General features: G+C 47.3%; 1 protein-coding gene across 12 annotated transcripts in view, besides 1 other annotated feature; it reads right to left on the bottom strand.

The window, feature by feature from the left end:
• FARP2 (FERM, ARH/RhoGEF and pleckstrin domain protein 2) overlaps positions 1-26,261 on the bottom strand; it is a 138,557-nt gene that overhangs the window by 34,481 nt on the left and 77,815 nt on the right. For all 12 annotated transcript variants that reach the window (XM_047446511.1, XM_011512233.1, NM_014808.4 and 9 more), the window contains 5 exons: positions 26,040-26,203; positions 25,331-25,399; positions 23,823-23,880; positions 18,805-19,057; positions 3,439-3,614 (listed from right to left, as the gene is read on the bottom strand). In XM_047446511.1, coding sequence (XP_047302467.1) covers positions 3,439-3,614; positions 18,805-19,057; positions 23,823-23,880; positions 25,331-25,399; positions 26,040-26,203 — 720 coding nt within the window. The remainder of the gene's footprint in view (positions 1-3,438; positions 3,615-18,804; positions 19,058-23,822; positions 23,881-25,330; positions 25,400-26,039; positions 26,204-26,261) is intronic.
• Positions 12,714-13,363: an enhancer, noted in NCBI's record as "H3K4me1 hESC enhancer chr2:242386413-242387062 (GRCh37/hg19 assembly coordinates)". NCBI's record gives its function as "activates a minimal SCP1, AML or CMV promoter by ChIP-STARR-seq in primed H9 embryonic stem cells {active_cell/tissue: H9 hESC(primed)}" and the evidence as "EXISTENCE:reporter gene assay evidence [ECO:0000049][PMID:30033119]".

The raw sequence follows: 26,261 nt of genomic DNA, 5'->3' as shown, positions 1-26,261 counted from the left end.
GCAGTGAGCTGTGGCTGCACCACTGCACTCCAGCCTGGGCAACAGAGACGGACCCCATCTCTAAAAAAAGAAGTCATTTCTCCACCTGAGCTTGATATGCCCAGTGAATTCTCTGGGGGCAGAGCTGGTCCCGTCCCCAGAGGCCCATGTTTATGGTCTGGGAGGCCCCAGCCTTCCCCACACAGCTGAGGGACAGGGATGTTACATGTTAATGCCCCACAAACTGTTGGCCTTGGGCCCTGGGGGAGAGTCTGGTAGAGGGAGGACAACTTCCTAGCCACAGTCACCGTGGCATGGAGTCCAAAGGCAATGTCCTAACTCTGAATGTTGTTCTATAGAAAGAAACAGGATGCTCGAGTCCCGGAGCAGCTCCACTCCTCCAGGGGCGAGGCACATAGAGACACATACGCCATCAGAGAGCCACAGCAGTCGCTGATGAGACTTCTCATCACAGGTGCCACCAGTGGGTCACAGGGGAGTCAGGGGAGCAGACTGGCCAAGAGAAGGGTCTTCCGTCCCGCCCCTGCCCCCGCCCCGCCCCGCCCAATCAGCCCAAGGAATACCGTGAGAAGACTCTCAGGGACAGAAAATACAGCAGCTGCCACGCTGCCCCCACCTCTAGATCAATGTCAAACCTGACCCCCAGCAAGCTGGGCTGCAGGCCAGGGATGAGACGGCGGCCAGGGATAGGCCCAGAGGAGCATGCAATTCCTGTGAGCTTCGCCACCTGTCCCCACATGAAGGGTCTATGTGCCCATGCAGAGCGTGGAAGAGGCTTCTGCCACCTTTGGCTTTCCTACCTTTCGACTGTGGCCGATCCTCACAAATCTCTATTAAAAAGGGGACAAACAGTGCATCAAGTGGGAGACACTGGGGAGGAGGGCACCAGCTGGCGAGGGTGGGCTGGAGGGTGGGCAGCTCTTTGCCCCTCCCCGCACAGCCCAGCAACTGGGTGCAAGTGCAAAAGCTTGACGGGTGGCCTCAGTGGCAGCACGTGCTTCTCAGACCCCTGTCACCCTGGCTCCCCAGGAGAGTGGTCTGCCAGGCCTTGCCAGCAGAACCGTCAGTGAATGTGGGGCCGGGGTCTCCCCAGAACCTGTTGCAGCCTGGCTGGGCACACTGGTTCATGAGGTCAGCACAGAGGGGTACTCTGGTGGGAACCTACCTCTGGGTCAAACCAGCAGCCCCTGCATGGTGATGAAAGGGCCATCCTTGCCATCTCGGAGCCCACCTGTGCTGGGCAACAGCCTTGCTATCTCAACTCACACACACAGAATTGAAGCAGAGCCCAGAGCCCTCCCTCCAGAGCCCAGGTGTTGAGGAGAGGCAACAGGAGACACCACGTCAGGGCTGAGGGTGCCCACACGCAGGGGCTGGGCCCAAGGGCTGCCGAATCTTTCTCTGCAGTGACCCAGCCACCAACTCCTCAAGGGCATGGCTCGGTGAGGACCCTGAGGTGCCCCCATCCCAGAGGGCCTTGCCATGCTGCTGGCCCCATGCCACGTCATGACTCACAGGCTTCTCCCAGGGCCACTTGCCACCAGCCCAATTATCCTCAGATGTGACAAGCTGTCATCCTATAGAACCATCTAAAGAATCAACTGATTTTTGTAATATAAAAAGTTACAAATTAAAATTTAGTCTTAATAACAGACTGCTTGGTAGCCATTTTTTTTTTTGTACCAAAGAAACAGTGAACTAAAGAGATTGTCATTAGGTTTCCAAAATAAAATAAAAAGACATCTTTTTTGGAAACAGTCTTGCTGCCAGGGCCCAGAACTAGCCCTCACTTGCAGGCCTCGTGCAGCAGTACGTTTAATATCCTTTGCTGCCTCCAGACCAGGGGGCTCCTTCCACTCCAGTGGGATCCAGGGGGACCCTCAGGGCACCAGGAAGGAGGAGACTGCCCTGCCTGTGCCATCCTACCTGCTGAGAGTCCCAGCATCCCACGGGTAGCCCTGGCATCTGGAAGGCAGGCCTTGGACAGAATATCCTCTGGCCAATTCGGGCCAAAGCAGGAGTGCTGAGGTGTCACAATGACATACCTCCCCCTGTACCAGCACTGACTCCCTCCCTCCTAGAGGCCCCATGGCCTCTTCCCATCCAGCTGCCACTCAGGGACCCCATGTCTCCCTTCTCTGTGGACTCCAGGCCCAATATAGTCTACAAACTCCCTGGACCCTGAGTCTTTTCTTTTAGGGTCCATCTGCAAAACCGTAGCTGTAGGCAGACTCCCCTGGGCTAGGAGAGTGGAGGCCACCCTGAGGCCACAGCATCCCTGCCCCTGGTTGCCCTGTGCCTGCCAGCAGTGAGCTTCTCTGCTCGGTCACTTTCTCCCTGCAGACTCTCAGTTTGTGCCCTTATTCCTATCATCTCTGATAAAAAGAGACCCATAGGGGACACTGCCTCAACTTTGTCATAAAGCCTCACCCCTGTCTGTGGCCCATGTGCCCCCCTCCCCGTGCCACAACAGCAGAGAACCGCCCCCTCGCCCCAGGTGGCTCCTCCACTGTCTCCAACATCGACACGGGGTCTCCCGCCCAAGAGCCTCTCCAGAACCCAAAGCGGTCCCTAGTGCACCCTCCCTTAGCACCCAGATGTTTCTACACTGGGTCTCCCGCCCAAGAGCCTCTCCAGAACCCAAAGCGGTCCTTAGTGCACCCTCCCTTAGCACCCAGATCTTTCTACACTGGGTCTCCCGCCCAAGAGCCTCTCCGGAACCCAAAGCGGTCCCTAGTGTACCCTCCCTTAGCACCCAGATCTTTCTACACTGGGTCTCCCGCCCAAGAGCCTCTCCGGAACCCAAAGCGGTCCCTAGTGCACCCTCCCTTAGCACCCAGATCTTTCTACACTGGGTCTCCCGCCCAAGAGCCTCTCCGGAACCCAAAGCGGTCCCTAGTGTACCCTCCCTTAGCACCCAGATCTTTCTACACTGGGCCTCCTGCCCAAGAGCCTCTCCGGAACCCAAAGCAGTCCCTAGTGCACCCTCCCTTAGCACCCAGATCTTTCCTCCCAGTTACTCAATTGTCAAAGTAGAAGCTTGACCAAGCAGGGAGAGAAGAAAGGAGCAAAGGAGGGAGGACGGGAGGGAGAAATGAGGAAGGTGGGAAGGAAGGAAGGAAGAGTGGGGGAGGCTGGAAGATCCAGCCTGACACATGGAGCCTGTGGGTTCCAGGGACCGTTTGCTAAATGAATAAGGAAACTCGTTTTTGTACGAAGGAACCTGGAGTCCCAGAGATAAGAGGAAAGTCTCAGGAAGGTTTTGCTAGGGAAGGCGGCCCAGTACCTCCTCTCTGCTCAGGAGGCTGGTAAGGCGGCTGTGAGTGCAGAGCCCTTCCCTGCCCCGCCCCAGGGTCCCCACCAGCACCACCCGAAGGAACAGTGAAAACAGGCCCACCCTGCAACCCTCTGCTAGCTTCTCAGCCTCGAGGGGCCCACCTTGTGTCTGGGCTCCTCGCAGTCCATCCCGGCTCCGCCAGCATCACTGAGGACAGGGCTCAGGAGTGGGGATGAGCCCTGTTCAGCTGGGCCCAAAGGCACCTGAAATGCAGGGCTCAGACTCAGGGGGCTCTTCCGGCTGGAGGGAGAAGGCTGAGGACTCTTCGTGGAAAGGCCTGGAAATGAACGGGGAGGGGGATGGAGCGAGAAATGAGAAAGGGCTGTGAGGCTGGCTTAGAGCCGCTACTACTCTCCTGACCATTCAACCGCCAGCCTCACACAGTGCCAGGCGCTTCCTGTAAAATGTGTATGTACAGCCTCTATCACACACAATTCTAAACATGACATAAAATGAAAATGAGGGTTGATGGTTCATCTACCCAATTTCAGAGAGCAATCCACAGACAGTGTGGATCCTCCCCGGACTCTAGGGGGGCCTGGATACCAACCTTGTGTTTCTAGGGGCTTCTTTTGGGCTCTGCAGAATATGTAACTATGATAAAACTAAGCACCACAAAGTGTGTAAAGCAAAAGGCACCACCAGGACGGGGGAACACTTTCTATGTGCATTGCTAGAGGTTAGAGACTTAAGATGTCAAACCAGGGCTAACATCTGAAAAGACAATGTCTATTTTAAGGCCAAACTTATTATTCATTAAAAAACGGATCATATAAAACTGCTCAATTCATGATACTGTTTTCCAGTTCCTTGAGTTTTTCATTAATGGGGATTTTATTTTGGTTTTCTAAAACACAGTAATAATTTTCCCCTTCTTAAAACCATGTTTGTTTTCGAATAAATAGGTGCCAAATTTGCAGCCCAATTCTAAAGATGATGAAATATATTTCATTGTGTATTTTATAATAAAAAAATCCTTTTCTATTTAAAAAAATTCTCAAAGGTTAATTTCTAATGTTTTTCTATGGGAAACCAGTAACTATTAAGTGCCAAATTTTAAAGATAACTTTACCTCGCTAACACGGTGAAACCCCATCTCTACTAAAAATACAAAAAATTAGCCGGGCATGGTGGCAGGTGCTTGTAGTCCCAGCTACTCGGGAGGCTGAGGCAGGAGAATGGCATGAACCCAGGAGGCAGAGCTTGCAGTGAGCCGAGATCGCACCACTGCACTCCAGCCTGGATGACAGAGCAAGACTCCATCTCAAAAAAAAAAAAAAAAAAAAAAGAAAACTTTAGAGTTTTAGAGAAGGAATTTAACTGCTGTTTAAAAATCACCAAAGGCCAGGCATGGTGGCTCATACCTGTAATCCCAGCACTTTGGGAGGCTGAGGGGGGTGGACCACCTGACGTCAGGAGTTAGAGACCAGCCTGGCCAACATGGTGAAACTCCATCCCTACTAAAAATACAAAAAATTAGCCGGGCATGGCGGCGGGTGCCTGTAATCCCAGATACTTGGGAGGCTGAGGCAGGAGAATCGCTTGAACCTAGGAGGCAGAGGTTGCAGTGAGCTGAGGTTGTACCATTGCCCTCCAGCCTGGGCAACAAGAGTGAGACTCCATCTCAAAACAAACAAAACTATCAAAGATGTAAATTTATGTTTCCAAGTGTACAGTGTTTGAACACTGAAACTATCATGATTTCTAACGATGATTGCTGAGTCAGCTTACCAAATGTTGCAACAGAAGTAACTCAATTTGAACCCCTGGTCGCATAAATGCCACACCATGGTGACTCCTTACTCCACCCACAACTGGTTTTAAAGCAAGATTCTCTCACACTACTGTTGGCACCTTCAGATGCAGTTGCTTATAGTGACCAGTTTATAGAACCCAAACTTGGTTCACTTAACCTAAAACATGTAAGTGTACAGGCAGATTAGTATAGAGCAGCTTCTTGAGAGCAGCTGACATCATGATTCCCTGTTTGCTGGGTTGGCATAAGCAACTCAACAGGTTAACCCTCCAGTGGGACATGGGAGATGGAGGGGAGGGAGTCCTTATTTTCACATTGACAAATCAGGAGCCCTGGAAAGATCTTGCCTGCTGCTAGGAATTCTAGTTATTAGGATTCTTAAGATGAAATATCAGTGCTCATGATAGCAGAGCTTTCCTCTGGAATTTTTCACAAGATACATTGAAAACACAAGGAAACATTCATTGCTATAGAAAACCTAGGTAACATCACTATAGGAAATTATTAACAACAAATTTATTAGAATTTGCTTTTATTACACCTTCAGTTAAAGTACACTAAGCAACCTTAAAACAGCATGAAATTCCTACTTCCGCCTTGCCTCACATACTGGGCCACATTTGGTCTTTGTCACTTCTGAAGGACTCAAAGTGGAACTGTGGCTTTGTGCTAGCCCCTGAAGCGTGGATTACTTCTTATGTTGAAAACAGGCATGTTTCCGAAGATGCGCTGTTTGGGGTTTGTGTTCCAGAATCTTCTTTGTCCTCAATAAGCCAGAATTTCACAAGGAGATATTTTATGTGATGAGAATTCGGAAAAAGTCTAGAAGCTACTAGTGTCTATTTACTCTTCACAACTGTGTTGCTCAGGGTGTGGCAGGAAGATGTCTCCCACTCATTGCTTCTGGAAGTCAGCGTCGGCCTTCACTATTCTGCCCTTGTGTCCTTCCAGGGGTCCTCACAGCACCTCACTCAGAGAAGTACAGTCCAACAGCAAGCCACTAGTTGACAGTTTACCAAAAAGTTGCTGCAAAATCTGCCTTTAAGTTGCAGGAGGTAAAACTTGAGGAAACGGCATACTCACGAGGCCCATCATAATGTGTGCTGCTATGACGCTGCTGGGGTTGCAAACAGGCCATGGCTAGGGTGGGGTAATAGGGCTGTAAATTAGAAAGGGCCACTCCTGGCCGGGTGCGGTGACTCATGGCTATAATCCCAACACTTTGGGAGGCCGAGGTGGGTGGATCACGAGGTCAGGAGTTCGAGACCAGCTTGGCCAAGATGGTGAAACCCTGTCTCTACTAAAAAAATACAAAAATTAGCCAGGTGTGGTGGCATGTGCCCGTAATACCACCTACTCAGGAGGCTGAGGCAGGAGAATTGCTTGAACCCGGGAGGTGGAGGTTGCAGTGAGCCACGATTGCACCACTGCACTCCAGCCTGGGCAACAGAGGAAGGCCCCATCTCAAAAAAAAAAAAAAAAAAAAAAAAAAAAAAAACCAGTAAGTGCCACTCCCAGTAAACAACCCCTCATAAAGGAAGGACACTCCACTTTAGGATACACTGCTCATTTGGAATAAACATTTTTGGTCCTACGGAGGTTAAAAGTCATCATTTGATAATATTATAAATACTTTTTTTTTTTTTGAGACAGAGTCTCGCTCTTTCACCCAGGCTGGAGTGCAGTGACACGATCTCGGCTCACTGCAAGCTCCGCCTCCCAGGTTCATGCCATTCTCCTGCCTCAGCCTCCCGAGTAGCTGGGACTACAGGCTCCCACCACCATGCCTGGCTAATTTTTTGTATTTTTAGTAGAGACGGGGTTTCACCATGTTAGCCAGGATGGTCTCGATCTCCTGACCTTGTGATCTGCCCGCCTTGGCCTCCCAAAGTGCTGGGATTACAGGCATGAGCCACCGCGCCCAGCCACAAATACATTTTTTGAGACAAAGTCTCTGTCGCCCAGGTTGGAGTGCAGTAGCACGATCTCGGCTCACTTCAACCTCTGCTTCCTGGGTTCATGCCATTCTTGTGCCTCAGCCTCCTGAGTAGCTGGGACTAGAGATGCACGCCACCATGCCCGGCTAATTTTTGTATTTTTAGTACAGACAGGGTTTCACCATGTTGGCCAGGTTGGTCTCAAACTCCTGACCTCAAGTGATCCGCCCGCCTTGGCCTCCCAGAGTGCTGGGATTACAGGTGTGAGCCACCGCTCCGGCCCTATTATAAATAATTTCTATTTAACAAAAAATGGTCAACTCACAACTTAGTGGATACATTAAAAAGTACCACAAATTACCGTTAAACATTTTTCTTTTTTTTTTTTGAGACCGAGTCTCTCACTCTGTCGCCCAGGCTGGAGTGCAATGGCATGATCTCGGCTCACTGCAATCTCTGCCTCCTGGGTTCAAGCGATTCTCGTGCCTCAGCCTCCCGAGTAGCTGGGACTACACATGCCCGCCACCATGCCCAGCTAATTTTTGTATTTTTAGTAGAGATGTGGTTTCACCATGTTGGCCAGGCTGGTCTCGAACTCATGACTTCAGGTGCTCCACTTGCCTTGGCCTCCCAAAGTGCTGGGATTACAGATGTGAGCCACTGTGCCCAGACTCTTTTTCTTTCTTTTTTTTTTTAATGGATGGGATCTTATGAAGTCCAATCTGAACTTGAACTCCTGGCCTCAAACAGTCCTCTTGCCTTAGCCTTCTGTGTAGCTAGGACTACAGGCATGCACCACTGTGCCTAATTTAAACATTTCTTTAAATGTTAGCTATAGCAAACCTTATAAATCAAGCCTACTTCAAATTACACAAACACAGATCCTACATGAAAGTCAGTAAATCTGTGGGGAGACTTTTTTTTTTTATTTTTAAAACAAGCAACTGGCGATGAATGTGTAACTTTATTTATACACGAAGTTGTTGGACTGTGTCCTCATGCCTGATTTTGTATGGGCTGTTGCATTTATCCCTGGGGAACAGGTTTAGCTGAAGTCACCAACACAGATGTACTCCACAGTGAGAAAACAAGTGTGGGAACATGGCTCTGAAGAGTGCTTTCCACAGTGACATACGACAGGATAAAGTTAGTGCCTTTTAGGCTCTGCAATTTTGAATTCTGTGGATATCATAAAAGGACACTTGGCCGTAGTGCTCCTCTGTCTTAGAAAATCTTTTTGACACTGATAATGCATATCAGAATGCATGGTTAAAAGCAGATGTTGGCCGGGCTTACGCCTGTAATCCCAGCACTTTGGGAAGCTCAAGCAGGTGAATCACATGAGGTCAGGAGTTTGAGAGAAGCCTGGCCAGCATGGTGAAACCCCATCTCTACTAAAAATACAAAAATTTGCCGGGTGTGGTTGTGCATGCCTGTAATTCTAGCTACTCGGGAGGCTGAGGTAGGAGAATCGCTTGAACCCGGGAGGTGGAGGGTGCAGTGAGCCAAGATCGTACCACTGCACTCCAGCCTGGGGAACAGAGTGAGACTGTGTCTCAAAAAAAGAAAAAAAAAGGCAGAGAAGTTTTAAAATGCTAAATATCAAGTTTTAGGTGCCACAGAATATGTTTAGCTTTACTTGACATGGTAAATAATTAATCTTAGGTATCTGTAAAAAATAAACTCTAAATCCGAGGTCATCTACTGAGAAACAGCCAGTAAGAATCAGTCTTGCTCTGAGTTTCGAGAGTCCCTTTTATAAAATTCGTATCATATACAACTCATAGGAGGACACACCGACCACACACAAAGATGAGGCCCAGCTATCTCACTATATCCTCAAGGACTGATTTCTTTACCCATAGACAAGACTTCAATTGCCAACATTAAAAGACTTGAAATTGAGAGATACAAACAGTAGTTATGTTTTACTGAGCTCTGCACTTTTGCTGGGATGGATCACAAACTGTCCACTGGCTGTTCACCAATGGGCTTCATTGCATAGACTGCACTTTGGGAAAAGAATAACATCTGAAATACTCTCAAAGCGGCAAATTGGCCAGGAGTGGTGGCTCATGCCTGTAATCTCAGCACTTTGGAAGGTCGAAGTGGGTGGATTACTTGAGCCCAGGAGTTTGAGACCAGCCTTGGCAACACAGTGAAACCCTGTCTCTACAAAAACAAAAAAATTAATAAAATTATCAAAAATTTAGCCAGGTGTGGTGGTGTGCTTGCCTGTAGTCCCAGCTACTCAGGAGGTGGAGGTGGAAGAAATGCCTGAGCCTGGGAAGTCAAGGCTGCAGTGAGCCATGATCAGGCCACCACACTCCAGCAAATAACAAGATTTGATCATCTTCAAAATATATATATTTATTTTTCTTTAGACAGTCTTGCTCTGTTGCCCAGGCTGGAGTGCAGTGGCGCAATCTCAGCTCACTACAACCTCCGCTTCCTGGATTCAAACGATTCTCAGGCCTTAGCCTCCCAAGTAGCGGGGATTACAGGCATGTGCCACTGTGCCTGGCTAATTGTTTTGTATTTTTAGTAGAGACAGTTTTTGCCATGTTGGTCTCAAATTCCTAGCCTCAAGTGATTGGCCCACCTCAGCCTCCCGAATTGCTGGGATTACAGGTGTGAGCCACCATGCCCAGCCTTTTTTGAGACTGAGTCTCGCTCTGTCTCCCAGGCTGGAGTGCAATTGCAGTGGCTCAATCTCAGCTCACTGCAGCCTCTACCTCCTGGGTTCAAGCAATTCTCCTGCCTCAGCCTCCTGAGTAGCTGGGATTACAGGCACACACCACCATACCCAGCTAATTTTCGTATTTTTAGTAGAGACGGGGTTTCACCATGTTGGCCAGGCTGGTCTTGAACTCCTGACCTCGTGATCCGCCCACCTCAGCCTCCCAAAGTGCTGGGACTACAGGCGTGAGCCACCGCGCCTGGCCTTTTTTGTTTTGTTTTTTTGGTTGAGACAGGGTCTTGCACTGTTGCCCAGGCTGGAGTGGAGTGCCACAATCATGGCTCACTGCAGCTTTGCCTTGACCTCCAGGCTCGATCCTCCCACCTCAGCCTTCCGAGTAGCTGGAATCACAGGCACATGTCACTGTGCCCAGCTATGTTTTAGTTTTTTGTAGAGATGGGGTCTTGCTATGTTGCTCAGGCTGGTCTTGAACTTCTCACTCCCTCCCTGGGCTAAAATGATCCTCCCACCTTGGCTTCCCAAAGTGCTCTGATTCCTGGCCAAAAGACATAAAATTTAAAACTGTTATTTCAGACTGTCGGCAGTGGGCATCTCTGGCAGATGATTTTCTTTTTTTTTTTTTTGAGATGGAGTCTTGCACTGTCACCCAGGCTGGAGTGCAATGGAGCGATCTCAGCTCACTCCAACCTCTGCCTCCCGGGTTCAAGTGATTCTCCTGCCTCAGCCTCCTGAATAGCTGGGATTACAGGCACCCGCCACCATGCCTAGCTAATTTTTGTGTGTGTGTGTATTTTTAGTAGAGATGGGGTTTCACTGTGTTGGCCAGGCTAGTCTCGAACTCCTGACCTTGTGATCCACCCTCCTTCGCCTCCCAAAGTGCTGGGATTACAGGCGGGAGCCACTGCGCCCGGTCTGGCAGGTGATTTTCTTTGTGGCAGTCTCTTTACTTCCAGAATTTTCTCAATATTCATCATATGATTTCTGAAATGCCATTTAAAAATCACAATGTTAATTAAACTTTTGTGCTTACCTTCACTTTTCCCTTCAAGACACTGTTTTTATTCATCTAACTAGATGATGAAAGAGAAATATCACATTTAGAGAAAAAGGTAAAGTTATTTTTATTTCATACTTTTAAATTCTCCTCTTTAAAACTCTAACAAATGATTCTTGAAAATATTTGCCTATTAGTGGAGGAAGAATCAGCTCCTGCTTGGCAAAATTCAAGGTCAAGTTGAAGGTTGACTTCAGAGGCGGTACAGGAAACTGAGGCTCAATGAATGAATTGTTACGCTTATTTTTTTTGTCTTTCTTTTTTTTTTTTCCTTTTTCTGGAGAACCGGGTCTCGCTATATTGCCCAGGCAGGTCTCGAAGTCCTGGGCTCAAGCTATCCTCCCGCCTCTTGCCTCCCTGAGAGCTGGGATTACAGGCGTGAGCCACCGCGCCCGGCCAAATGAATTGTTAATTCCAGAAGAAAAGGAAAATGTGGAACTATCCAAGGGATCCAAGTAAATGTGAACCTGATGAGTTAGCCGAAAATTATTTCTGGCTTCTCTACTGGAAGAGGATGTCATGAGTGGATCTTACACAAAATCTGGCTCAAAGAATACAAGCGGGAGATAGAAAAATGGTTAATGGCAAGGGGTCCAGGTATTGGTTCATCTCTTACTGTGCATTCAGCTCACCTCCCTACCCGGCATCACTGCCCACAGGACAGGACGTGAAGGTGTGATGCATGGCACAGCTTTCCCAAGGGCCATTTGGGGTTTTAACGAGCTGACACACGAAGCCTTGGACCACGGCTTGGTAGGCAGCACACGGTGGAGCCACCGCTGCTGCTCTCCCATGGTTCAGACAACTGTATCAACACACGAAGTGCTCCCAATAATCTTTGTTTCTTTCCTGTTTTGCGCTAAATAAACGAGACCTTTTCCTTCCTAAGAAAAACAGGTGTTCTAACCTATAACAGCAAGTTGTGCTTTGGGCCATTTGTCCAGATCTGCTATCTGCCAGGTGTACGGTCTCCTCTTGAATAAGTGAAGGTGCTCCACAGCCTCTATGTTTTTGTTCTAATACATTGTGTCCAAAACTTTGAGAAGCATGCTCTGACTTATTAATCTTTCTATTGGAACAATGGAGGCAAGGTCCCGAAAACAAACTATTAAAGTAAACTAAATAAAGGGTGATAGTTATTAGGATTAGGAAAGAAATATAATCTGAACTGACATATTTGAAGAACATAAAGGCCACATGGTTTTTACCATCTAAATCAGTCAACTTATAGACCTCATACAGAAATGCTTTTGAGCAGTTTCTTGAAATCAGGATTTAGGCACCCAGGTGCCTCCCACTTCATCCTTAGGCAGCGGATGCTGGGCAGGGGTGGCCCCAGGACCAGGAGGGTGATGGTCAGGGAGCAGGGCTGGCATGATGTAGGGGGGGTAAGTGAGGCCCCTGGGACTCTTTTCCCTCTCCTCTAAGTGGGAAGTAACTACCCATCCATGGGCTCTGAGGAGACCCATGAGTTTGTTCTGACAAGTGCCTTTCTAGAACATGCTGCTGCCACAGCCCCTCTGCTCTGGTGTGGCAGGTACAATTGCTGAGCTCCAGGAAGGGCTTACTGCCAGGTGCCTCCCACCCTGGCCTCAGGTGCTCACTGAGCACCCTGCCCACTGGGCAGCAGGTGCTTTAGAGCCCCGGGGAGGCACCACCACCTTCCCAGAGGCGCCTGACATCAGTGGCTGCAGCTCTGTGCTGCTCCAAGGTCCGAAAAGGGCAAGGTGAGGAGCCTATCCTCACAGGGCTCAAAAGCAGGAGGCAGTGTCCAAAGCCCTGCCCCCACCCCCGCAGGCGTGTGTGGGGCTAGAGAGGCATGGACATTCCACGGAGGCAGCAGAAACTCGTGTTGGCCAAATGGGAAACTCAAGCTCAGAGTGGAATAAAGCCTTGCCCAGAACCTGCAGAGCTGTTGCACTCTGGGGCAGGGGTCTCTTGTTCACGTCCTCCCCTGTAATTTACAGGGTGGTTTTGGCTGACTGTGGAAAAAACAGGCAATAATAACCTCATTTTCAGAATTTTAAGCCAACAGCATCTGTTCTGTGCACGGTAAAAGTGCAAGGACACAAGGCCCGCCCCGTGGGGTGTGGTGGGGGCCTGCACGGCACGTCCTCCCCGACACCCAGCTCTGCCGTGCAGGCCACACCAGGCGAGAGCAGGAAGCACTGACAGAGCTAAGACCAAGAAGAAGCAAGGCACCTTTCCCCACTGGCCTTCCACAGACATCATCACCCATATTAAAACAAGACAATCTGCACAAGAGTCATGGTGCCTGTTCCCTGTTTCTTGCTCAGAAGCCTATGAAGATGTCAGTGACACTGTTATAAAAAATATGCAGCTGCTTCAGGGATTAATATGCAAAAGAATCTTTAACTTATATAAATCAAAACTAAAAGTAGAGGGAAAGAAAGCTAAAAAGCCCATTTAAAAATTCACAGTAAATATATCCTTATTTTATTGAACACTTAAAAAAATCTAAATTAGTACATATCTGCAAATTTATAAATGGCAATTTCAATGGAAAACAAATTTTATAAGTACCACAAAGCAGACAACAAAAATGTCTCTTTAAAAAATGAACAAATTCAAATGTATAAGGAAATTTCAGCTCATTTTTTCTTCATTTCCTAGGGGAACGCAATTGTTTTCATGCTAAAGATGGCGCTTCCTTGAACTAGGGGACACGTCAGGCATGGACCACCACGTGGAGAGGGAGGCTAACAGCATCTGCCCACATCCCAGCCGCCTGTGACAGAATCTTCCATACACATGGCTCCCAGATGAGCACCAAAGGGAGACCACAGCAGATACGATTCTGTGGACTTGAGAACCAAATCTATACAAATATTTTCAACTCTAAGTCCCCAAGAGAACATTAACATTTTTGTCTATGAAATAATTTTTCCAGCAATGAATTTTTTTGATATTCCACGAGCTGGGAGGGAACAAGCATACCTTGAAGACATATGTATTGGCATCAAATGTCACATAAACACACAACAGCTGGGAACACACATGCTATGTATGTCACCATGTGATCACAACCACAGCACATGTGAAGTGCTACAATTACTCCTCAGAGCGGTGGAATGGCAGAGGAGCTTGCATGAAAAATCAGAACATACCCGTACACCAAAGCAATTCAAAAGGACCAAGTCACCCTCAGCAAAATGACATTAATGGGAATGACTTAACCAACAGGTTTAAATTTTTCATACTAAACTCTTTTTTTTTTGGTGTGCTATTGTCCATCCCTCAATCATCAGTACTAATTTAAAAATGTGTGTTAAGTGGAGCAGAGAATCCTAATCTAATTCCATATTTAGAGAATCTCTTGGTAATATAAAAAAGGCACATATCAATACCTAGTGATTTGAAAAATTACATAGCATATGCTATTACATATTTTTCGTGTAGTCAGTTGTATTAACATATAACTGTGCTACTGTTAGACTTGAAATATTTATACATTGGCCTACATAAAGTACCTGGACTTTTGGAAACTTAAATACAAAAACAGTTTGACAGCTAATAAAAATATTCTACCTAAAGCAGAGTATATAATTAGTGGTGGACTTCATGGGTCCAACAGGCACTGTCTGCTGGTGGCCTCTCATTGACGGGGACTGCTGCAGGATTGCGTCCCCTCTGAGTAGACACACCTGGCTATGACGGTGACCCATGGGTAAGTCCTCCTGGGAGCTACCAGTGCAGCCCCTGATGCGCCCTGCCTGAGACTGCGGGCGGAGGATGACAACTGTGCGGCTTTAAGGTTCTGGATGTAACTGAGGAGATCAATAGATTGAGAGAGAACTGTTAATATTTTGCAGGCACTTTCACCTCCACACTCTCAGTGAGCTGTATCCAGACACTTCCAGGAGTGCTGAGTCAAATCTGCATACTTCTTTCAATTTCAGGGTTTATCAGGCCACACCTCTCAGGCTGTGCACTACCCAACACTGGCTTGAAGAAGAGCCACAAAGCACAAAGCAGAAACAAAAGCAGAGCCCAATGCTGCTGCAGGGCACTATGGCCTCAGGCTGAATTGCTCCTGGAGTTTTGCTATTTAACCACTGTAAACTGTCTTGTTAAGGTGGAAAAGAGCAACGTCAGTGCCTCATTAACTGTTACAAGTGGAAAGACAGAATCTGTAGAGGGAAATGTCTTCCTTATGGTTCTAAAGCCATGGTGCCCACGCTTGCCTTCCCTTCCGTGTCTAAATCCCCTCTGGGTGGACATTACAACCCACTCACAAGAGAAAGGGGTAAGAGGGCTGTGAGCAGTAACTCGGAAGAAAGCCTTGATTGATTTTTTTTTTTTTTTTTTTTGAGACAGGGCCTCGCTCTAGCACCCAGGCTCATGCCTGCAATTCTGGCACTTTGGGAGGCTGAGACAGGAGGACTGCTGGAGCCCAGGAATTCAAGACCATCCTGGGCAACATGAAGAGAACCTGTCTCCACAAAAATTTTTTAAAAATTAGCTGGGCGCAGTGATGTGTGCCTGTAGTCCCAGCTACTCAGGAGGCTGGGGTGGGGGGATGGCTTGAGCCCAGGAGGTTGAGGCTGCAGTGAGATGTGACTGTGCCACCATACTCCAGCCTGGGTGACAGGAGTGAGGCCCTGTCTCTAAAACAGTAATAATAAAATACTTTAGCAACAAAATACCCAAGGAAAGAAAAAAGGCACAGCTGGGGCAAGCATGGTCAAGTGTGGGTAACACTGAATTTGAGGTGATGCGGGTTCCTTACATTCCTGCTTTGTATATTTTGAAAACTTCCTAAATAAAAAACTAAAGAATTATCTCTAGAAAGTGAGGTTCCATTAACACAAACCAAAAACAGCAAGATCTATTTTATAGGAGGCCTAGTAGAAGATGCCCAAGAACAAAATTTATTTAGAATCTCGCACATGAGCGAGTGATGAGATACCTCTGCTGGGGTAGGGGCATGATCCCACTCCTTAGGAAGGAACATTCCAGCTTCCACAGCATTAGCTTCACCAGGGAGCGGCCACCCCTGCCCCACAGCAGTGCTAGCTCAAAACCACCCAAACCTAACCTGCTGTCCAGACGCCAGGGTGGGTTCCCTTAAAAACAAAAAGACAACTTTGTTAGTTCACAGCATCAGCAAGGACCGTCGTCAGGCAACAGTAATGAAGGGGAGAGGAACCATCAGCTACCATATGAATACTAAGGTTTAGGAAAACGTTTTAAATGTTATCTATACTCATTTCTCCCCAGCACACAAATCCAAGGTTTATTTTTGGAGTGACAGTAAGAAAAGAAGAACCTCCCAAACAGTCCTGTCCTGACCTCAGGTTCACTGCTGCGCTTCTGTCTGTTAACATTTTCACAGGTATTTGTTAGCCAATGTAGAAAGCTGTGCCCAATGGCCCCTAAAGCATCAAGAAGGCAGGTCTAAATTACCAGGGACAGAATGAATAACAACTATACAGACTGAAACTTCTAGCTGCATAAGCAAAATGATGAGACTGCGGTTTAGGTATAACAAAGCTACAAAAATGGGAAACTGCCTGATGTGGTTAGCCACAAAACCCCTGCTGGCATCCAGCCAACACTGATGAGAAAAGGAAAACCAGCCCTTGCAAGATGCCCTCAATGGCTCAGACACCTGAGCCACGTGGTCCCTGTGCAATCACAGTAAATCCATCCAGGCAAAACATCAGAGATCTTACAATGTGAACAGGAATGAAATGTAAAGTTTCCACAAGACATTCTGGGAAGAGAATTAAACTTTAAATGTGGTATTGCACTACTAGGTAAGATCAGAAAAGAAAAACAACAAAAACCCCAACCCTATCTGTGGACTTGACAAATTGAACAGTGTCATCTAGGGCTGGCCTGAGACCGGCACTTGTGGGTGCTGAGCTGCATGGCAGTGGTTTCCCCATGACGTCCCTGGATGGACCTACCCACTCTGTGCCACAAACATCAGCCTTGACTTTTATGGTGGTTTAGACTGAGAAGCTCTCCATGTGGTACCCAGCAGGGCCCATGGCACCTGGTATGTGTTTACGGGTACGCTGGATGGGTGGGCAGGGCCACCTTGGCACACCTGCCCCTGGGACCCTTCCCATTGTCCTGGGACAGAATGATGCCCATGGTGTGTCTGGTTCTGCTTTTTTTGCAACCACGTATCTTCTAGTTCCCAATTAAGCTGAAGAAAAGAAAACAGCTCAAACTTACATAAGTGCATTTTAAACCAACGCCTCTCCAAGACCACTATCTACACACAGCACTATTTCTGGGTCTCAAGTCAATAATGAGGCAGTGGCCCTTTGACACCTTTAAAAAAAAAAATGACATGGTGCCTTTGGCACTGGGACAGTTCCAGGCATCCCCTCACCCCCAACCCCAGTGCAATGGATGACTGTCCCCCCAGAGTCCCAGTGGGACTCTTTCTCCACTTGTCTGTGCAAAAGGGTTGCTGAAGAAAAGGCTAATGTCTACGGGGGCCTTAGGGTCTCAGAGTCCCACGAGTTTGACCACAGCACACAGGAGGCCATGGCCTATGGCCATCTTTCCCAGGGTTAGGGCTGTAGAGGCATACTCAAGGTTTTGTGTAGCGCAGTGGCTGGACAAGTGAGACAAAACCTGTGTCCTAGTTAATTATAGGCAACAGGGCTCATCTTGAAAAGCAGCATCAATAGTGTAATACACATATTCTATTGAAGATCAACATGAACAGAATTGTGTAACATTCAGAATGTATAGCACCAGTTCTTACTTGAATCAAAGCATATGGCAAAAAACATAAACTACAAAGACTAATTTATCGGTCCTCTAGGAGGACTGGCTGGAGTACTCAGGTCTAAGACCGGAGGCATAGCTTTTACGTCATTCCAAGTGAAAGGTCAAATTTTTTGACATTCAAAAAAGTATAATAAATCAGGAAATTAAAAAAAAATTGAATATCTATCCATGAAATGAAAGTCACTTTCTGTGTTTAAACCAAACAATTCTGAGCTCTAAACCACACAGCGTGGGTGAGTGGGTTGCCTTGTAAAGGAACCCAGAGTGGTCAAGATGGGTTTTTATCTATTTGCTCTCCTGGAGTCAAATTCTTTAAATTGTTCTGTAAATCAAAAGGGACTCTTTCTCCACTTGTGTGTGCAAAAGGGTTGCTGAAGAAAAGGCTTATGTCTAGGGGGGCCTCGGTTTCAGAGTCCCATGAGTCTGACTCTGTGCTGCTGGAGTCCTCGGCCGTCGTGGGTGGGTAGCTGAGCTGCTCTAACTGGTCGATGATGTCAGAGAACTGGAAGGCCGAGCTGGACTCAGAGCGGACTGAGTAGGCTGGGAAGTTGACCATGGAGCTGGCCTCAGATTGACTGGCTGAGCTGCATGTGTGCACAGACAGCCCACCACGTAGTGGCATGTTATTGAGGGAGCTGTTTTCAGACTGGCTGTTTCTCAGTGAGCTGGTCTCAGAAGGACCCAGCAGGCGCTGCATCCGGCTGGCCTGCGCCTTCACCTCAAATAGCTCCGAGGTGTCTGAGGGGTGTGCGTTCCCATTGAAGTCACTTTCCTCCTCAAATGCAAAACCGTCTTCTGTGTTCATATCTACTGCCTCCATGGAGTACCTGTCTGGGCTGGACCGAGCAGACCCTGGAAGCTCACACAAAGGAGGGGCCACCAGAGGCTGGGCAGAGGCCTGAGATTCCTGTGGGACTACAGAGCCATAAGGAAAAGAAAACGCCTCAGAGCCTCCAGCAAAGAAGGAGATGTCTGCTGGGTCATCGTCTATGAACTCCTCAGATACCTGCAGCTGGGCATTTGTCAATGTGAAAGCAGGGGCCCCCCCACGACACTGCCGGTCACACCGGTGCTCCCCACCGGAAGGAAATGAGCCTGTGGTAAAGTCATCCCCACCATTGTCATTTTTACAAGCAGCGCTGAGCTCCCTACCGGCCCTCCCTGTGTCTAGGTCTAAGGCACTGAAACTCTGCCCCCCAGCACAGACAGAACCACAGCTGCTCACGACATGACAAAACCCGACACCTGGACCAGGCTGGAGTGCGGGGGGCCCGAGGGGCTGGGCCGATGGTGTGTCGGGGCCTCCAGCCACTGCTCCACTGCGCCTCTCTGCAGCTGGACTCTTGACGTAGGAAACCTGGGGATCTGTGAGGGAGCTGCTGCTGTCCTTAAACTCTGGCAGGCCAGAGGGGACCAGAGTGGAGGGAGAGAGCGAGTAAAAGGCATTCGCTGAAGATGGGGAGGCAGGAGTCCTCAATCCCTCGGGGAATGAGATGCTCTGGGAACCAAAGTTAAGAAAAGAAAAAAAGGATATAAAATTACAAATTACCACTAGAAGTTGCAAAGCCACCTGGCCTAACTTAGGGCATCCACACATTTCTATCACAGCTTTCATGAAAATGGGCAATTCACTAGACTTTCCCTTGTAGAACTGAAGATTTGTAAAAGTAGCATTGCAAATCAACCCAGGATCGTCTGTTTACAAACCCTTACAATTCCATTTTTTTCTCTTATGACATGAAATATCCACAATAAAGAAAAGTTTTTAAAATTAAATTACAATTTTTAATTTTTTTAGAGACAGGGTATTGCTCTGTTGCCCAGGGTGGAGTACAGTGGTGCCATCATAGCTCAAACTCCTGGCCTCAAGTGATCCACCCATCTTCGCCTTCCAACATGCTGGGATTACAGGTACATGCCACCATGCCTGGCCAAGAAAACCTCCATCTTGCAGAACCTAATGACACGTGGTCCACGTCTTCCTGGAATCCCGTTACCAGGAGATTCATAGTTTTGTTGAGGGGTAAAATACAGCTGGAGAGGGAGTGAACCATTCCACTCAGCCAATAGAACCCTAAACCACAGTACTGACAGGTGAGTAACAAGTCCAAGTTCTACAGTAATGCGCACTCATCTGTCAGAGATGTATCGTCGCGAGGGAGTTAGGACACACACCAATCCACTCATACATGTAAGGGAAGGTTGAGGGTCACTGCCTAGGATGCCCTTTGCCAATGGGAGTGGCACAAGAGACCTGGGGCCTTCCAAAAGCACAGGAGTGGCCACAAGTCTGAGGGAGAAGCAGCTCCCAAGCAGGATGAGGAAATACTGAGGGGCCAGGACCAGATGTCCAGTGGCTATGCTGCATCACCTGCTACTCCATAGGTGCCCTAACACATCCTCCCCTCATGGTTCCACACACAAGGACACGGCTGAGCCCCCTCTACTCACTAAGCGTCACTCCTCGCGCGCTATCACGGGATGCAGTCACGCTTTGGGGACATCCCTTACTATATATACACACGCCACATCGTTAAGAGTGTGGTCAGACCAAAATATAACCAAACACAACTGAATAACTTTTTGTGCAATATGTACACAGGCAATATACACATGCACGTGTTACCATATGTAAAAAGTGCAAATGTAACTGCACAAGGCTTAGTTACTAGGCTTTCAGAAACAAAATAGTAGGCCACAGTCCATAAGATTAACCTATTTTCAAATGCTGATCTTATCATGTCTCAATTATTCAACCATATTCAATATTCTCATGTGGCTTTTAAAATGGAATGGAAGAAAATTGAAAGCGTAAAGGTTTTATTTATTTATTTATTTATTTTTGAGATGAAGTTTCACTCTTGTCACTCAGGCTGGAGTGCAATGTGCCATCTCGGCTCACTGCAACCTCCACCTCCCAGGTTCAAGCAATTCTCCGGTCTCAGCCTCCCGAGTAGCTGGGATTATACGCGCCTACCATGCCTCACTAATTTTTGTATTTTATTAAACCTGGGGTTTCACCATGTTGGCCAAGCTGGTCTCGAACTCTTGACCTCAGGAGATCTGCCCGCCTTGACCTCCCAAAGTGCTGGTATTACAGCTGTTGAGTCACTGTGCCTGTCCTTAAAGGTAACTTTTAGATGATTCTTATTTTGACATTAAATTCTTTTGAAGGCCGGGCATGGTGGCTCACGCCTGTAATCCCAGCACTTTGGGAGGCCGAGTCGGGCGGATCATGAGTTCAGGAGATCAAGACCATCCTGGCTAACACGGTGAAACCCTGTCTCTCCAAAAAATACAAAAAATCAGCCAGGCATTGTGGCATGCACCTGTAGTCCCAGCCACCTGGGAGGCTGAGGCAGGAGAATCACTTGAACCCGGGAGGTGGAGGTTGCAATGAACCAAGATCGCACCACTGCACTCCAGCCTGGGCAACAGAGCGAGACTCTGTCTCAAAAAAAAGAAAAAAAAATTCTAACTTTGTGGTTGGGTATGCTGGCTCATGCCTGTAATCCCAACATTTTGGGAGGCTGAGGCAGAAGGATCACTTGAGCCCAGGAGTTTGAGACCAGCCTGGGCAACATGGTGAGACTCTGTCTCTACAAAAAAAAATACAAAATTAGCTGGGTGCGGTGGCATGCACCTGTAGTCTCAGCTACTTGGGAGGCTGAGGTGGAAGGATCACCGGAGCCTGGGAGGTTGAGGCTGCAACGAGCTGTGATCATGCAGCCGAGATGATAGAGTGAGACCCTGTCTCCAAAAAAAAAGAAAAAAAAATCAAACTGTGTAAAGGAACAATTAAAAATACATTTCCCTTTAATTTCAATTGAATTAACAAGAAATTTCTAAAGAGGAAACATATCTAAAAGAGTTGGCCGGGCGCGGTGGCTCACGCCTGTAATCCCAGCACTTTGGGAGGCTGAGCAGGTGGATCATGGGGTCAGGAGATTGAGACCATCCTGGCTAACACAGTGAAACCCCGTCTCCACTGAAAAATAAAAAAAAATTACCAGGCATGGTGGCGGGCACCTGTAGTCCCAGCTACTCAGGAGGCTGAGGCAGGAGAATGGCGTGAACCCGGGAGGCGGAGCTTGCAGTGAGCCAAGATCGCGCCACTGCACTCCAGCCTGGGCGACAGAGCGAGACTCTGTCTCAAAAAAAAAAAAACAAAAAAAAAAAACCAGAGAGTTTAAGAAGGTTTTCATGTACCCATGAAAAAACCTGGGATACCATGAGCTTTACTTTTTGAGACATTCTTACCCTGTTGTCTAGTCTGGGGTGCAGTGGTACAATTGTGGCTCACTGCAGTCTTGAACTCCTGGGCTCAAGTGATCCTCATACCTCAGCCTCCCAAGTAGCTGGGACTATAGTTCAGTGCCACCACACCTGGCTAATTTAAAAAAAAATCTTCAGATAGATAGGTCTCACTATGTTGTCCAGGCTGGTCTCAAACTCCTGGCTTCAAGCAATCCTCCAGCCTTAGCCTCTTGAGTAGTTGGGATTAAGGGTGTGAGCCATTGTGCCCAGTTCACATGACCTTTAATATAATGAGGTGCAAGTGTAGCTTCTGAAGTGCTATGACAGTATAAATGACAAACCATTAAAAAAATTGACACTGTACAGAGATAAAAGTTGAAACTGTAGCACCATGAAGAAAGAGTTATGATATGTTACATAAAAATAGCAAGATTCTGACTAGGCATGGTGGCTCATGCCTATAATCCAAGCACTTTGGGAGGCCAAGGCAGGCGTATCACTTGAGGCCAGGAGTTCGAGACCAGCCTGGCCAACATGGTGAAACCATGTCTCTACTAAAAAACACAAAAATCAGCCAGGCGGCTGGGCGTGGTGGCTCATGCCTGTATTCCCAGCACTTTGGGAGGCCGAGGCGGGCAGATCATGAGGTCAGGAGATCAAGACCATCCTGGCTGACACAGTGAAACCCCGTCTCTACTAAAAATACAAACAAATTAGCCAGGCGTGGTGGCGGGCACCTGCAGTCCCAGCTACTCGGGAGGCTGAGGCAGGTGAATGGTGTGAACACGGGAGGTGGAGCTTGCAGTGAGCCGAGATCGCGCCACTATACTCCAGCCTGGGCGACAGAGCAAGACTCCGTCTCAAAAAAAAAAAATAAATAAATAAATAAATAAATATATATATATGTATATGTCAGCGAGGCATGATGGTATGTGCCTGTAATCACAGCTACTTGGGAGGCTGAGGAATGAGAATCACTTGAACCCAGGAAGCAGAGGTTGCAGTGAGCCTAGATCATGCCACTGCACTCCAGCCTGGGCAAGAGAGTAAGACTCTCTCTGGTAAAACAAAACAAAACATGCAAGATTCAATGTAAAAATATGCTTGCATATGGAAGTTAACATGCCAGCATAAAAATGGGAAGGGACTGTAGTGAAGTAGACCTGAAACATGAGAAGGTCGCTGATGTCCCATCACAGTGGCACGGAACAGCTGTTGTCACATTCTGGGACATTCTTGTCAAATGTTTTTGTATGAAGTGTCTGTGTGAGTTGGTGTATCTTTGTTTTGATATAGTTGCAATCATGCCAAAGACATAGAGATACAAATTTGTTTCCTGCTTTTCATTTGTAACATAACAGCAAGAATTTCTCCATGTTACCACATACTCTTTTTAAGCCATGCTTTCAGCAGTTAACAAAAAATCCTACTAAGTGAATACAGCTAAAAACATAGTTAGTAAGTCATCTGGCACAGATGAGAGTTGTCAGGATTTTGTGGTGTATTACACACAACACTATGATGCACATCTCAACATACAGGCTTTCTCTCTTTTTTTTGAGACAGGATCTTGTTCTGTCATCCAGGCTGGAGTGTAGTGCCACTATCTTGGCTCACTGTAGCCCCAACTTCCTGGGCTCAAGACATTCTTCCACCTCAGCTCCCTGAGTAGCTGAGACTACCCGTGCGCCACCATCATGCTCGGCTAATTTTTGTATTTTTTGTAGAGACAAGATTTTGCCATGTTGCCCAGGCTGGTCTCGAATTCCTGGACTGAAGCAACCCTCCTGCCCTGGCCTCCCAAGGAGCTGGGATTACAGGCATGGGCCACTGCCCTGCTGGCTTTCTATTCAGGACCCCTTTCTGAAAACAGAGTCCCAGGATTACAATTGCTGCATTAAATAATATGATTAATTTTAAGACTCTTGTTACAATACTGACAGACTATTTTCCAAAAGAGTACAGGGAACTCCTACTGCCCCCATGTTGAACCGGAAGAGACTAACCTGTTTTGGTAGGTCTGCAGTCAGAGCTCGAACGGACGTGTGGGTCTTGCTGTGCCTTCTGCAAAACAGAGGACGAGCTGTGAGAAACCAAGCCCTCCCCTTCTCAGCGCCTGTTTTTAAAGCAGCAAGCATGTACTGTATCCATGAAGAAAACCTCACAAGAAAATGTAGCTAAGAGGTATCTAACTTGAAAGGGGCAGGAGAATGGAAAACAAGAATTCAAATAAAAAACAGAGGTCCCAAGAGAGGTAAGATTACACACCCACACTAAAGGAAAAAATTCCACGTGCGGAGAAACAACAAGAATTTTCAGATTAAATGTTTACTATAGGCCGGGCGCAGTGGCTCACACCTGTAATCCCAGCACTTTGGGAGGCCGAGGCGGGTGGATCACGAGGTCAGATCAAGACCATCCTGGCTAACATTATGAAACCCCGTCTCTATTAAAAATACAAAAAATTAGCTGGGTGTGGTGGTGGGTGCCTGTAGTCCCAGCTACTTGGGAGGCTGAGGCAAGAGAATGGCGTGAACCCAGGAGGTGGAGCTTGCAGTGAGCCGAGATCACACTACTGCACTCCAGCCTGGACGACAGAGCAAGACTCCATCTCAAAAAAAAAAAAAAAAAAAAAATTTACTATACTATGTAAAAATATATATAAGCTAAGCTATACAGAAGAGAAACTAAAAATATCTCTATGTGTATACAATGTCTATATAAAAATATTACAGGCCGGGGGCAGTGGCTCACACCTGTAATCCCAGCACTTTGGGAGGCCGAGGCGGGTGGATCATGAGGTCAGGAGGTCGAGACCACCCTGGCTAACACAGTGAAACCCCATCTCTACTAAAAATACAAAAGATTTGCCAGGCGTGGTGGCAGGCGCCTGCAGTCCCAGCTACTCGGGAGGCTGAGGCAGAAGAATGGTGTGAACCCGGGAGGCGGAGCTTGCAGTGAGCCGAGATCGCACCACTGCACTCCAGCTTGGGCGACAGAGCGAGACTCCGTCTCAAAAAAAAAAAAAAAAAAATTACAAATCCACTTTCTTTAAAACATTGAAACTGAACTCCTGTAAAAATACACATTCATGTATTTGAAGTGACTTTCAGTCAAGTAAAGATTAATATTTAAAATAGGCTGGGCATGGTGGCTCACACCTATAATCGCAGCACTTTGGGAGGCTGAGGTTGGAGGATTACTTGAGCCCACATGTTTGAGACCAGCCTGGGCAACATAGCAAGACCTTGTCTCTACAGAAAAAAAAAAAAAACAAAAAAAACTAGCCAGGGGATAGTGGTGTGCGCCTATATTCCCAGCTACTCGGGAGGCTGAGGTGGGAGGATTGCTTGAGCCCAGGAGTCTGAAGCTGCAGTGAGCCGTGATCATGCCACTGTATTCCAGCTTAGGTGACGGAGCAAGACTCAGTCTCTCTTTTCGCTCTCTCTCCATATATATATTTAAATTTTAATTTTAAAAGCACACACTTTACATCATAAAGGCCAGAGCTTACCTTTCATATGGAATTCTCTTCATTCCACTGTCTTTGAAATAATCTACTAGTTGTTTCTGAGTTCTTCCACTGTGAATAAAGATTCAGATTTTTAATAAAGAACAGTAAGTCAGCATTAATTTTTCAGAGTAAAAGACAAAAGAAAAGATTTACCCATCCTCTCTCATAAATATACACACATATATTTTATTTTTTGAGACTGAGTCTCGCTCTATTGCCCAGGGTGGAGTGCAGTGGCGTGATCTCTGCCTCATGGGTTTAAGCGATTCTCATGCCTCAGCCTCCCGAGTAGCTGGGATTACAGGTGCCCGCTAACACGCCCAGCTAATTTTTGTATTTTTAGTAGAGATGGGGTTTCACCATGTTGGCCAGGCTGATATCGAATTCCTGACCTCAAATGATCCACCCGCCTTGGCCTTCCAAAGTGCTGGGATTACAGGTGTGAGCCACCGGGCTCGGCCCACATACATATTTTAAAGTTATACTTTGTAGTAAGCGTAACTGAATTTGTAAGCAAAGTTTTTATTAAGCGTATTTTTTCCGTTATTTTATTTCATATGCTTCCTCTAGTTATTCTTTCACAATACCTCCACTTTGTGTGTAATTCTCTGAAATATTTTATAACACTTCTTTCTTGACTAGGAATTACCTATTTTCTCAGCTTTACAAACCAGTGAGGGGCCCATGCAAGCCACGGCATGGCCCCTACCTGTATCTGAAGGAGGAGCCCCGGCTGAAGAAGACGGCTTTTGCTTTTGGCTTAGGTTGGTCCAAAAGTCTAAAAAAGGTGTGATACTCCACACAAATCTTCCAGAAGTTCTTACATTCATCTCTACTACCCAACAAAAATTCTAATGTGTCCTGGTAAGGTCCCTAGAAACAAAACACAAAGGTTAATTAATTCAAGAATGAAGTATTGGACAAGAGAAAG

This window comes from Homo sapiens, chromosome 2, assembly GCF_000001405.40.
Source record: "Homo sapiens chromosome 2, GRCh38.p14 Primary Assembly".
NCBI lineage: Eukaryota > Metazoa > Chordata > Mammalia > Primates > Hominidae > Homo > Homo sapiens.
The sequence above is the reverse complement of the archived record's forward strand: the minus strand, read 5'-3'. Positions and strand labels throughout refer to the sequence as shown.